The sequence below is a fragment of the Homo sapiens genome, chromosome 4 (genome assembly GCF_000001405.40).
Source record: "Homo sapiens chromosome 4, GRCh38.p14 Primary Assembly".
Classification (NCBI taxonomy): Eukaryota; Metazoa; Chordata; class Mammalia; order Primates; family Hominidae; genus Homo; species Homo sapiens.
In genome coordinates, this window is record NC_000004.12 from 153,939,403 (window position 1) to 153,954,033 (window position 14,631).

General features: G+C 39.3%; 1 long non-coding RNA gene across 1 annotated transcript in view, besides 1 other annotated feature; it reads left to right on the forward strand.

Annotated features, from left to right (window-relative positions):
- LOC101927947 (uncharacterized) overlaps positions 1–14,631 on the forward strand; it is a 469,997-nt gene that overhangs the window by 110,580 nt on the left and 344,786 nt on the right. Inside the window, exon 7 of the long non-coding RNA XR_007058336.1 lies at positions 9,419–9,459. This is a non-coding gene — a long non-coding RNA (uncharacterized LOC101927947). The remainder of the gene's footprint in view (positions 1–9,418; positions 9,460–14,631) is intronic.
- Positions 11,273–11,469: a silencer, noted in NCBI's record as "fragment chr4:154871827-154872023 (GRCh37/hg19 assembly coordinates)". NCBI's record gives its function as "represses an EF-1alpha promoter that drives an FKBP-Casp9 reporter gene in an ReSE screen in phorbol 12-myristate 13-acetate-treated (for megakaryocytic differentiation) K562 erythroleukemia cells {active_cell/tissue: K562(+PMA)}" and the evidence as "EXISTENCE:reporter gene assay evidence [ECO:0000049][PMID:32094911]".

A 14,631-nucleotide genomic window follows, 5' to 3' on the forward strand; every position in this document is an offset into this window, starting at 1 on the left:
ATAATTTTTTATCTGTGGTTCCAACTTAGTGATGTCGGAACCTGGAGGTGATGAAGGCTTACTGACAATAACAAAATCCATTGTTCTGAGGATCATGCTATTATGAGGAGTTTAAAATTTGGAAAATAGCTTTACAGAAAATAAAAATCACAATCAAAATGGATACAAGTTATTGAAGATGACTTAACCAGAATATATTCAAGTTATTAAACTTAGAGCTGGGAACTTGAGAGACCTCCTTCCCTTCCAGCATTCCAATGTCCTCTTCCAATGTGTTCCAAAGCACAATAAAGAGAAAAACCCACTGGCTAAGAAAAATATTGCCTAGCTATGCTGTAATTCAAAGCAGGTTTCTCAATCTTTTCCTTCTGAAATTTCTTTTGAGTCTCAGAGCAAGAAGGGTAACCACAGGCCCTGTGTGGGAATGATCCTGACCGAATAAGGGCTGGGAATCCAGAACCTTTTAACAAATACTTTGTCAAGGCAATATTTATTTATCATAAAAATCAAACCAATTTTCTGTAGCTTCCATCTCTCTTAGCCTGCTTGTGAACCTGTGCCTCTGCATTCAATGAGTTAAAGAGCTCTTTGCTGAATGGATTTATAAACAGAAATTTGAACACAGTGGTTTAACAAGTGAGACAGAAATATATCTTCTTCTATCTCCTACCCACTCCTTCTGGCTTTTCTGTTTTTGCTAAAGGTACTACCTATTCTTTGGCCTATCAGCATGGAGCCATCTATGAACACTCTTCTTTCTTTGCTCCCATCATCTACTGGCAGAAAATTTTAAAACGCAGAAGTACAAAAAATAAATGTGAAAGTTTACCTCCACTCCTCCATCCTCAGTAGTTCTTTAAACTCAATTACTTTTAACCATTTGTATTTTTAATTCTTATGCTTTAACCCCAATACTCTGAATAATATATTCATACCTCTGCTAATTAACATGTTAACCTTAGATAGCATTTATTTATTCCTTACAATGAAAGAAGAATAATTAGCTTGCTTATACTACCCAACTTTTACCCTCCACATTTTTTGTTTTACGCTATTTGTATATGTTCTATTGCTTAACTTTATAAAATACTTAAACTCCTTCTAGATAAATTATCAATTTTAGAAGATATTGCTTGCCTTACTATGAAAGACCAGGAAATAATCATGCCTGTACTTTTCCACTTTATTTCCTCCATGTAGCTTCTCTGAGCTACGCTTTGCTTTCTATTCACTTTGCTTTCCTTAATTCTTTCCCTGTTTTCTTACCTTTGATTATGGTGATCAAGTTTTCTCTGTTCCTCTGGTCCTTTTACTGATCTGAAAAGTTATGCATACACTTTATATTCTTTTTAAAGGTTACCCTTAAAATTTCAATATGCATGTTTCATGTGACCTAACATTAATCCACGTCTCTATCCTCTTCTGAAAGAAGGTCAAATCATAACATGCTTTAACCCAAACTCCTTCTTCCTGTCTTCTCTGTTAACTATTATTTGAAATTTTAGTTGAACTTAGTTTTATAACTTCCCCAAAGAGATCATTTAGATTTACCAAATGCGAGAGCCTGGGAGGTGCCCTGCTCAGATGTCCCTTTAAGTGAGAACTTGCTGCAAGGAGTGTAGTGAGCTGGCAGCCTGCATTTGCTGTACCTTCAGGATCCGTGGCAGTGTTCATGCTGAAGCTCTGCTCTGCATGGGCCATCTCCAGCCAGTGGCTGAGCTCAGGAAGAGCATGCAAACCGATCATTGCTGCCTACATGGGACTCCCTCACAGGCTGCTTTGCTCTGCCTTCCTGCACTGGCCTGAGACTCTCACAGGTGCACTGCTACCTCGGGCTCTTCCTTTTCAATCCTTCTTCATTTGCCCCTCTCCTTTCACAGATGTCAGATCTGTGTCATGGTCTGAAGGATTTCCCTGACTACTCTTGCTTCATCTCTGCTTTCCTTTTCATGGGATTTCTCTGCAACAGATCTCTTGCATTTCTGATTCCATGATGGTGTGTTTGCTTCCTGGAGAGCTCAAAATGACACCAGAGTTTTCTAATCATTCCTTTGTTCCCTTGAGCTTCTTGTACTCCTGCCATCTGTTCAGCCTGGATGCTTTCTTAGCGTACCATTCTCATTATCCTTAGTTTGTCCTACAAAGTCCTGTATGACCAGGTACCTCCTTACTGTCCAACGTTATCCTCACCCCATCAGTAAATATAGCTCAGCCTTATAGCCCTCCTTTTAGCTTCTCAAATGAACTAAGCTCTTTCTTTCTTGAGAGTTTTTCTGTGCTGGCTGCTCTTCCAGGAACCCTTTTCTCCCAGTCTTTGTAGAGCCAACTCCTCATCTTTACATCTCTTGTATCATCACTTCAGGGATGCCTTTCCCTGATCACTCCCCTTCTGCAGCTTTTTTATGTGGTAACGCAGCAGCTGGTTGTTTTTATTTCCAAAATGATATTTTGTAATTATTTATCTCTTTTCCACTATGTAGCAAGCAGAGATTATATTCGTTTCATTCACCACTGTAGACTTAGCACTTAGCACAGGACCTGGGACAAAACAGATAGTTAGTAAAGATTTATTTCGTGAATGAATAGTCCCCTCTTTCACGTTCACTGACACCATTCTTACCTCTTGTCTTTTCATTGCTACAATGTCCTTAACAGTCTTACTATTCACCACAGCTAGATTAGTCTTCCCTGAGTATAGCCCCTTTTAGTGTTCATTTCTGCTCAAAAAACCACCAAGGAGTTCCCATTCCTCATGACTTAGGTACAGATGTCTCAGCCTGGCACTCAAGGAAGCCACAAGGTCCATCTTTCTAGCCTCATCTCCCTGCGATGGTCTCTCTCTCAAGTCAAACTGGACAATCACCAGTCACCAAGCACATTCTGACATTCTGGGCTTTCTTCTCGCCACATCTTGGGCTATGCTAGATTGATCACCATACTTTTTCTCCCCATCCCTCTTCCATCTCACTATGTTGTTGAGTCAAAATCTATGTGGCCCCTCCCAGTGGAAATTCTTCCTCATCATTCTAAATTAATGTGCCAGCTTCTACTCTAAAATCCCATGGCCTATTGTTTGAGATTTAGGGCATTTTCAAATTTACTTTATATTAAAATGATTATTTACTTGCCTTTTCTTAACCTTGCCAAAGTCCATGATCCTTCATGACAGGAACTCTTTTATACATCTTTTGTGGCCTCTACAGCACTGAGCATATACCTTCTTACTCTTACATTTTTATTTTTAAAATTTTACTTTTATTTATAAATAATACTTTAATATAATTACCACTTTATTTGTATGAGTATAAAATAATACATATATTATGGAAGACATGAGAGACATAAAATATTAGAGAATAAGAAATAAACTGCAATTGCATCACCTGCCAATCATCATTTCTTAGCATTCTATTGTATTTCTTTTTGTTTTTATTTTTCAATAGATAATGTTTGTATTAGCACAGATCATATTGAATACACAATTTTGTGTTTTGGAGAGTTCCAGGTGCAGTTGAAAAGTCTAGTTCTAAATTTTCTCTTTTTTCTAGAAAATACTCAAACAATAGGAGAACTAAAAACAACAAGAAAAAAAAAACCTCAAAATATATTTAATCAAAAGTGAGAGGAAAAAGAAACCCAAGAAAATTCCAGATTTCTTTTAAGTGTTGCCAAAGGCAGAGCTGAACAGGAAGCCCATGTTGTTCTTCAGGTAAGACCAGAGGTTTCAAAGGGCAGTAAGGGCTAGAAGTTCTCAGAGCTGTCCAGCAAATATTCCTTTTGAACAAGAGGTCTCCACTCTGAAAGGGACAAGATAAAGCAGAGCAAGTTCTTTTGCTGAAGGAGGCAGAGGCCAGGTGCGGTGGTTCATGCCTGTAATCCCAGCACTTTGGGATCACATGAGGTCAGGAGTTCAAGGCCAGCCTGGTCAACACGGTGAAACCCTGTCTCCACTAAAAATACAAAAATTAGCTGGGCGGGGTGGCGCATGCCTGTAGTCCCAGCTACTCAGGAGGCTGAGGCGGAAGAATCTCTTGAACCTGGGAGGTGGAGGTTGCAGTGAGCTGAGATTGTGCCACTGCACCCTAGCCTGGGTGACAGAGCAAGACTTAATCTCAACAAAAAAAAAAGGAGGCAGAGAGGGAAGATTCAGAGCACACCCTGGGACTCTGGGAGTCCACATGTGGCAATTCTTAGATAGCAATTGCAAAATATGACTTCCAAAATGGTGCGACAAGCAAGAACAATGTGGGGAGTTCAGAAGCCCAGGGCCAGTGGTAGAAACTCTTTTGAACAAAGCTGTGCCCTGAGACCTTGTTTGTGGCAATGTTTGATGATTTTAAATTGAGTTATAGGTAATGTGTATAGAAATTATAGAGATAATTTGGACAGATAATGTTATGTTTTTTCTAAGAGGGTTTATGTTTGCTTTTGACAGGCATTTAGGTTACAGGGAATTCACCTTAATTCAATTCAGGATTGAGCTGATTTGAAACTAGGTTTTATTCTTTGCGATGACTGGTCTACTTATGATTCACACTGATTCTTAGATCCTTCCTCCTTGGTTGACCTTTATAGTAGTTTCCTAAGGCTTCTGTGTTAGGCTGTTCTTGCATTGCTATAAAGAAATACCTGAGCCTGGGTAATTTATAAGGAAAAGAGGTTTAATTGGCTGATGTTTTAGCAGGCTGTACAAGCATGGCTCTGGCATCTGCTTCTGGTGAGGGCCCCAGGAAGCTTACAATCATGGCAGAAGATAAAGGAGGAGCAGGCATATCATGTGATGAAAGCAGGAGCAAAAGAGAAGGGGAGGTGCCACACACTTTTAAACAACCAGCTCTCATGAGAACTCACTCACTCATTATCACAAGGACAGCACCAAGCCATGCATGAGGGATCTGCCCCCATGACCCAAACACCTCCCACCAGACCCCACCTCCAACATTAGGGATTACATTTCAACATGAGATTTGGAGAGGACAAACATCCAAGCTATATTAGCTGCCATAAAATATTTACCACGAAGGTGGCCTAGAACAACAGAAATTTATTCTTTCACAGTTCTAGAGGCTAGAAGTCCAAAATCAAAGTGTTGGCATGGTCATGCTCCCTCTGAAGGCTCCAGGGAAGAAGAATTCTTTGCCTCTTTCTAATTTCTGGTGGTCACAGAAATCCTTGGCATTCCTTGGCTTGGAGCTGCATCACTGTAGTCTCTGCTGCCATTGTTACACGACCTTCTGCCCTGAGTGTCTGTCTTCATGTCTCTTCTCTTACAAGGATACCAATCATATTGAATTTAGGGCCCACCCTACTCTACTATGCCCTCGTCTTAGTTTTTAAAGGTCTTTTAAACAACCAGATCTCATGAGAACTCACTCACTATCACAAGGACAGCACCAAGCCATTCATGAGGGATCTGCCCCCATGACCTAAATATCTCCCACCAGGGCCCCACCTTATAAGTAATGGCCAAAACTGCAAGTATCTTTTGCATCAACCTAATAATTATAACTGTAAAGACCCTATTTTCAAAAAGTTAACATTCTTAGGTTCTAGGTAGACATGAATTATTTTATTTTATATTTTTGAGACAGAGTCTCACTGTGTTGCCCAGGCTGGAGTGCAGCGGCATGATCTTGGCTCACTGCAACCTCTGCCTCCTGGGTTCAAGCGATTCTCCTGCCTCAGCCTCCCAAGTAGCTGTACAGGCACCCACCACCATGAATTTTTGTGGGGGGAGCACTGTTCAACGTAATGCAATCTTGAACTCCATTTTTGGCTCCAGCCCTGTGAAAGTTCTGAAAATCCTGTTCACCTTCTTAGTGTTTTAGCCATTACTTCTGAATGAGCAAATGCCTTGAGGGCATATGTGCACCAAATGTCTGGCTTACCCTTCTGTGTTTCTTTTCTTAAGTTTGTTTGTTTTATTTTTTAATGGGGGAAGGTTAGTTTGATACAAGCTTATCAATCATAGCCTGAAATGGTTGTCTATTATAATGTTTTGATTTAATATTTTCCATTATCATTTTTATTGCTCTTTCTTCCTTCTTGAGTATTTAATTTCCATTTCGTATCATTTCCATTCAGCCTGAAGAACTTTCTTTAGATTCCTTGTAGTATGGAGTCTAATTTTCTCTGCCAATTTTCTAGAAAAATTATCTTGGTTTCTTTTAACTTAAAATGTCTTTACTTTGTCTCATTATTGAAGGATATTTTGTGGGGTATAGGTTTCTGGATTGACAGTATTTTTTAAAAAATCACTTAAAAATATTGCTCACTCTCTTCTGGCCTTCATAGTTTTATAGTGAGGAGTTGACTCATAATTGAAGCACTGTCCCCCTATATATAATGCCCCATTTTTCTCTTGCTGCTTTCCAGCTTTACTATTTATATTTGGCTTCTGACTCTGACTCCTAACTTCCGAGTCTGACTCTGATGTGTCTCAATGTGGTTATCCTTCTTGGTTTTCATGGAGTACCTGGGATCTGTAAATTTATGTCTTTCATCAAATTTGGAAAATGTATGGCTATCACTTTTTCAAGTAGTTTTCTCCCCATTTTTTCTTGATTCTCCTGTTTCTGGGACTATAATTCATGCATGCAATTAGGTTTACCAGGTGTCTGAGGCTCTGTTCATTTCTTCCCCCTAATCTTTCCCCCACATTGATCTGTGTGCCCATTGGATTACAAATCCAGAAATGCTCTACGTAAGTATACTTGTAATTGCAAATAGGAAACAATGTGTGCTAGAGTAATGAATAGTTATGTAAGTGTGGCAATAAGGAAAAATATATATAGATGTATGAGGAGAGGGTGGTCTTCTCAATGAGCCTATTGAATTTTTCCATCTCCCAGATAAAATATCTATTGTAATTGGCAGAAATATGAACAAATACACAATGAATAGCATATTAAATAAGTTTTATTGAGAAATTAGAGGAAGAAATCTGATTTCCATTTTGTGACAATACCTACTAGTACAGCATTCATTTGTGAGTTCTCTTCCCACCGCTACCCCATCTATTTAAGTTGTGATATACTTTTTCTTGAGGAAGGTTTTGGTTAGTACAGTGTATCTGAATGGAAATGTGGTGAGGCAGGAGAGATGGAAGGAAGTTTGGAGATTGTCACATAACTCAGAAAAATCAAAGGGAGGTAACCTAGGAGGCTCCAGTCTTGCTAACCTGAAAACAGAAAGGTAAAAACAGTATTGAAAGACGGTAACTTTTCTGTAGAAGTCAAAAGTTTAGTTGTCTCAGGATTTTATGTATATGTAATTCCATAATTAGAAATTATATAACTGTTCTCAACTTCATCAGTTTTTAAAATTGTTATTTCTCTACTTAATCAGTTTTTAAATAATCCTTATAGATTTCTTCTTCTCCTTTAAAATTCTATAAATCCTTTTTCATCATCTTGGGTTTATTCATATGTATTTTGTTAAAGGCAGACTATGGATGCTTTAAAATATTTGAAGACAAAGCTCAAATAACACTCTGATAATACTCATATCCAAGCACTGACCCAAATAGGGCTAGCTGGATACACTCATGTACACGAGGGCATTTATCTCAAGGGAAAAATGTTGCTATATGTTTTGAAACTTTTTTTGGTAAAACATATTAATTTTTAATGTATAGAGTAAATTGGTTATAGCATAAATGTAAATAAAGCTGTCCTCTACCCCAATCCATTAATGCTCAATTTAAATTTAAGAATTTCAAGATAAACTAATCAGGAACAGTTTTTCTCAAATCAAGCCAACCATCAAACTCCATTTGAAAAACACATTTTCCTCCTTTGTTTGAGAGTAGCATTGATCTTTCACTTGTGGCTTTATTTGTGAGCAAATGAAAGCATCTGAGGGGTAGTGAAGCCCCTGGGAGTGTGACTGTCTCACAGACATTAAGCCTGCAGGTGGAGTCCTCGATCTCCTGACATGGGGCTTAGCCTGAAAAAGGGCCTCTCTTTCCCACTCCTGGGAGTGCTTACTTCTGAAGCCAGGAGTGTCAGGAAGTGGAGCCAACAAGAGAGGAATTTAGGTCCTCTGGAGACCTTATGGGGAATACTTTGGTTTTTCTTGAGAGCTCTCACACCTTGAGCTCTTCCACCTTCTTGTTTGTCACAGGCCTAAAGTTGGGAGTTGGGGAGAGGTGTGGCTGTCGGTGAGACTAGGGCTGGAGTCTTGATGCAGACACTTGGGAGGAAGCTCTTGCTTAGTCTCCAGCAAGTGGTTCTTGTCTAGTTTCCTGGCTGTGGGTTGTGACTATCATTTGCTAAAACTTTGGAGAAGAAGGAGTGCTCAAATATTGAGGTGTCCTGATAATATAACTCCTGGTTTGCTCAGAGGTAAGCGGCCTCCTTCTTTGTGCCCAACTCTCTTGCTTTCTCCTTTCAACACTTCTTTTCACAACTCTCAGGCCTTGGGTCCTCGTCTTAATGCTCAGTCTATGGAACCTCAGGAAAGAATCTATTATCAACCATTTGCCTTTTTTTGGAGTTGGGACGGGGGTGGGTAGTTCTTTTATTTTAAGACTTAGATCCTACTGTGGGAAAGCCTTTGCTTGCTACTAACCAAATTAGTAGGGGGTATTTGGGAGAGAAATTGGTTCGTCTAATATATTTAGGAGAAAAGTTGACTTTGGAGTGAGGATGTAATCCCAAAAGTTTGTGTATGAGTTGTGAATTTCTAAAATGTGATCTTTAGGTGCTCAGGGGATTCTGGTGCAGGTGCTAGATGAGATGAGTTGGCAGTTAATTGTAATTTTCCTGTTGCAAAACAGAAAGTCTCAACACAGCATTTCTTGATGACCAGTTTCACCCTTATTTGTCTCACAGACTACACACTACTTGCTCAGATGCTGCACCAATACTTTGCTAAGGAAATTCAATCTCTTAGTGCAATTTCCAAGACATATTTATTAATTGAGGCTGACTCATCATCCCAGAGTTCTAATATCATTAATAGGCCGTCCAATGTCCAATGACATCAGTTTTGAAAATGTTCCTTCAGGTATTTGCACTAGTCCATTAACCCTGCTCCTCTTGTCTCCTGGAGCTGCAATCCTAGTTTAATCCCAATTTTGGACATTCATTTATGTATTCATTCATTCACTCAGTTCAAGCATTTAATATTTATTGGGTGTCAGCTCTTGTTGCTGTGCTAAACCCTCAGGGTACTAAGATGAGTAAAACCTCAGAATTCCATAATCATTGAAGACCTTAGAGATCATCCAGTGAAAAGCAAGAAAATCAGGATAAAGTATCTCATAATGCATGAAAAAATAGCTTCTCTGCTCAAGAGAGGTGAGAAGCCAAGAATAACTCTGTGTGCCAATTTCCCAGACTCTGAGAATTTTATAGGTTTAAAGTGCCATGGAGATTCTGTTGTCATTTATGCTTTTTTTCTATTTCTGTTACAGTTAACAAGATCAACCTTGCTGGGAAATGAACAAGCGACCAGGTGAGCTCAAGAGTCCTTTCCTTTTTCCCCAAACTTATGGATTTCTCAAATAGAAACTGAGGTCATTGCATATTTTGGGGATGTTTAAATAGACTTAAAGCTAACAGGGGTGTTAACTGAAATCTTTCCTTTTTGGAAAAGTGAGGGAAGAGAAAGGACTGGAGGGCACTGATAATTTGGGTGAAGTGTTTCTACTCAGAAGGGAACGTGAAAAATTTGGATGAAGTCAGTTTTATTAAAGAGCTAGTAGCCTGTTAAACAGAACTATAGTTAAACTTGTGTTAATACAGCTAAATGCAGATCTTTACATACTTAAACTACCCAGAGAGTTACTCGTTAGAATAGTGAGCTAATATTTATAGTGAGCATTAAGGGAATGGTTTTGAATATTAAAAATGCTCTGCAATAGCAATTTTTATTGTGATTTGAAATGCTTGTCTCTATTACCTTTTTAGGAATTAGTGGATGATAGTCCTGTTGTCTTCTGGCATTTGTGAAACACAGCTTTCTTCTCTATAGTTCTCCTATTCCTAGAAACTGTGCATGTGCATGCATGCACACACACACAAACACCATTAAAAAGGAATAACAATTCAGGATTTCTGAACATCTTTATTTAGATAATTTTATGTCAAAACCATAAAATGTATTACATGTCCTTTTTAATGAAAGAGAAAGCAAACACTAAAATGTATAACATCTGCTGGAAATAGAATCTAAATTAAAAACTCGTGTAGACATAAGGACCAAGGGACAAAATATAGGGGCAGGAAGTATGGCAAGATGTTAGTGTTAAAAATAATTTTTTAAAATATTATGCCTGATAGCAGGTGCATAGATGAAATATTTTTGGGGTAAAAAACTCATTCTGAATCTTATCTGAAGATTGACAGCAATGTTTATTTGCTCAAGGCATAATAAATCTTTTAATATATTCCCACCGAGTTTTCAGATTTTAATAGATGGAAAGGCCATATTCACTGACTATTTGAGGATTGAAATTTTCTTTCAGGAATAGTCATTCTTACCTGAATTATTAAAATGATTAATCCCTTACAAGTGACTAAGAACCACCGCTTACTTCTTTCCCACTTTACTCATCTAACTGAGGTTTGTGTTTATCAGCTGATATAATGTAGCCCCTTAAGTGAACAGTATCATCCAGTCGTTTTGGTAAGAGACCTTCTGTTTGGGACAGGAAATAGAAAACTAATTGGAAGACAGATTTGTTTTACCTAACAAGGAAGAGGTATCATGAGGATCAAGTGAGAAAAAAGTGTATTGAAAAATTATAAAGCACATAATGAAATGCAAGATGAAATTATGCTGTCTGATGGCTCGTGCACAGCTGCAGCGAAACGCAGTGTTGTATAACCTGCAAGCTTTGGAGGCTAGTCCTGTAGGTGGATAAATGAGACAGCCTCTGATGTGGTATAATTTCAAGATTTCCGTAAGCTCTAACCACTTCCTCAACAATAGAACCACAGCTTTGGACTGAGATGTTGGCTCCAGAAAGCCTCTGTTGAAAGGACTTTCCTACAAGGTAGAGAAAACAAATGAACTGACTTTATCAGACTAACCAGCTCTCACCTAAAGAAAGCTTATGAGGGAGGGAAGCACAAGAAAGATAATTTTTGAAGGCATGAATGTGAGATTAAGATGGAAAGTTCTGTGCATGCAGGTTAAGATGGAAAGTTTATTCTGGGGAGGACAAGCCCTCAGCAGTATCCTGGTAGGAGGTTCTGGTAATCTAGGGACAGCATGAGAGCACTGTGTCACTTGTCTGGAAAAGAAGATAGAGGAGAGGAAGTTTGGAAGTGAGGGACACACCCAGGGCCTACACTGCCTGTGCCACAGTTCAGCTGCAGCCCAATCCTGCATGCCTGACCTCAGTTCATTGATCTCTGAGCATGCCCATTCTCTTCATAAAGCACCTTTGTTTTCTACCCAGTGCACAAACATCACGACCCGTGTCTGAGAATGTTGGGAATTTTATTAGGTCCATAAAGTTTTAGCTGTGGTCTAGTCCACCGAGGCCAAAATAAATAAATAGAGAGAGTGTAAAAGTAACATTAAAAAAAAAAAAGCCTGGCTTAAAGAAAGAAAAACTACTGAAGCTCTAAAATAACTTTGTCACAGTGGTTTTAGAGGGGATTTCTCCTTACCAGCTAAGAACTCTGTAAAGTGCAGGCTGAGAAACTGTGGTATAATTGCAGCCAAAAAATTCACTTTTCATATTTCTCTGAGAATATTCTGTTCTATGGAGTTAGGTTTAGAGGTTAAAATGATTGACAACTGATTGGCCACAGGCCTAAAGCTAACTGAATAAAAAAGCAAAATGCCTTGGCTTTAAGAGTCAGGCTTTCTGGGAAAATGTTAAAGATAAAATTAATTACTATTGATAATGTAATGCATTTTCCTTTTTCTTAACTACTTTCTTCAGGTTCAAAATTCGTATCACTCAAATTTTCTTCTGCTTATATATTTAGTTTCATAATAATAATATTAATTATGATTACTATTAAATATAATCATGATTTGAGTGCTTTCTATGTGTCAGGCACTATTCTAAGACCTTGAAATGCATTAATTAATTTACTTCTCACTACGTAAATTAGCTACTGGTATTATCCTTCATTTTATAGTTGAGAAAACTGAGAGACAGACCAGTGAGGTGACTTGCCTTAGATCTCAGAACTAGGAAGTTGAGAACCTGGAATGAAAAAATATATATTTAGCTATGAGCTCTTAAGCTCATGAAAACATTACAAATGAATTTGTAACTACACTCCTTGCTTGGTGTCTTTCCCCATTGTCATCATTATCAAAATCCTTTTTGGGTGTTCGGTATGTGTCCTAAGAATGCAATTAATTAGTAGTGGAAAAGTCATAATGTTGAGTGGAAGAAACAAGATTCAGAACAATAGTAAAATATGATGCCCCCTGTGCAAAATTTAAATTCCATACTTAAAAAACCATATAATGTTCATATCACATATAGGTTTTTGTAAAAGCCATATCAACTTCATGAGAGTAGGGCTTTCTGGTCCATGAGGAGAGGATTGGAAGGGTTGGTGGTGAGTCTAGAAGCAATAATTTGAAATGGGGACAGTTGTTAATTCTGAGTGATATGACTATTGTTCTCTGGATTTATTGTATTTCTTAAATTTCTATTCAAATTTTTTTTTTAGGGATGGAGTCTCACTATATTGCTCAGGCTGGTCTCAAACTCCTGGCCTCAAGCTATCCTCCCTCCTCAGCATCTAGAGTAGCTGGGGTTACAGGTGAGAGCCACCATGCCTGGCTAAATTTCTAAAAATATGATAAGCAGGAATATATATGGAGGACACTGATTCCTGTGCCAAAGAGGCCTTCATTTCAGTTAGAGAGTTAGGACGTGTAGATAAGGAGGAGACTAAGACAAGGTGTCAAATTAGTGCCATAGCATGTAAGACTTGTGGAGTTTCACAGGAGAGATCACTCAAGGTGAGCAGAAGTAGGTACAGCTACATGGAAGAGGGAGATGTGAGTTGGGCCTTGAAGCTTTAACCTAGACAAGTGGAGAGGAGGGAATCCCAGGCAGAGAGCTGGACAGAAGGCCAGACTGAGTGGGGAAATCTAGCGGTGGCATTCACAGCAGTGGTGAGAGTCAAACGAGACAATGTATGCAGAACATCTAGTGTGGACTTCGTACAATACTGATAAATGTAATTCAGGCAATACCAAACAACAAAAGAGGCATTATCCAGGCTCTGTACTGACGTTCATGATCCCCGTGGCCTATTGTCGAGAGTCACACCTGGGGGCATTTATTACCTTCATTTGAACCTCAAAGGAACCATAAGTGTTTAAGGGGTCATTTTGTTTATAAAGACAACGTCCCACTTTAAGACCTATTGCAAAAATGGCCACCATATGTTTCTAGAATATCGCTTCTGTTTTATCTCCAGAGCTAGCTTAGAAGTGGTATGAGAAAAAACTTAGAAAACAGTTATTTTTTGGCCGGTCGCGGTGGCTCACGCCTGTAATCCCAGCACTTTGGGAGTGCGAGGTGGGCGGATCACGAGGTCCTGGCCAACATGGTGAAACCCCATCTCTGCTAAAAATACAAAAATTAGCTGGGTGTGGCAGCGCGTGCCTGTAATCCCAGCTACTTGGGAGGCTGAGGCAGGAGAATCGCTTGAATCTGGGAGGCGGAGGTTGCAGTGAGCCGAGATTGTGCCACTGCACTCCAGCCTGGTGACACAGCTAGGCTCAGTCTCAAAAAAAACAAAAAAACAAAAAAACAAAAACCAGTTATTTTTCATTTTTCACTCATTGAATTCTAACCATATGCCCTCAAAGACTGTCAGAAGAGTGAGGACACACACACAACTGAAGGAGGAGGCAGAAGGAGAAAAGGCCGATGGGAGGCAAGGGTGAATTCGTATGAGAGTTTAGAAGGAGGACAACTGTAGCCTCATTGAGTGATCTTGGAAAGATTAGTTCCTGATTGTTCCATGGTTTTCTAATTGGGCGAGTAGTTGACTTCACAACTGTGGCAGCATATCTCCTCTGAGTTAGCTGAGGAGTTTGTGTATCAGGACACAGACTGTGAACAGTTCTCCTTAGCCCGGTCACCTGGTATGATCATATGGGGCATTTGCCACAAGGCCCCTGAAAGAGAAAATAAGTGTATTCATGGCTGTCTGGGCATTATGGCATTGTGACACCAGACCCAACTCCTCCCGGTCCCCTCCCATCCTGCAAAACATACCCTTAGTCTCTTCCTAGTCCCAGTTCTCAGTGTTCTTACAGTCTGGGTGTTTCTTTTTAGGATGTATGTGTTAGGCGATTGATTGGAATATGCATGGCCCCTATTGGACTACAACTTGGGTGATGCCCATTTTGTGGTTGCTCTATTTCTCTGAGGGAAGGTAAATGGATCTGAGGTGGGTCTCAGAACACCACAGGGACACTCCACTGCACTCACAGTGGCAGCTCCCCACAAGCAGGGCTGGGTTCCTTTACCAGGACTGCTTCTGCCCTTAGTGCAATTGCCCTTTATTCCTTTCATTTTTACTGGGATCAGCTTTTCATGGGTCTTTCTTCCCTAAGACTGCCATATGGGAAGTGGTATCTTAGCTCTCATTGACTTATTTTGTGTGGAGGTAGAGCGAGGGAGTCCAATTA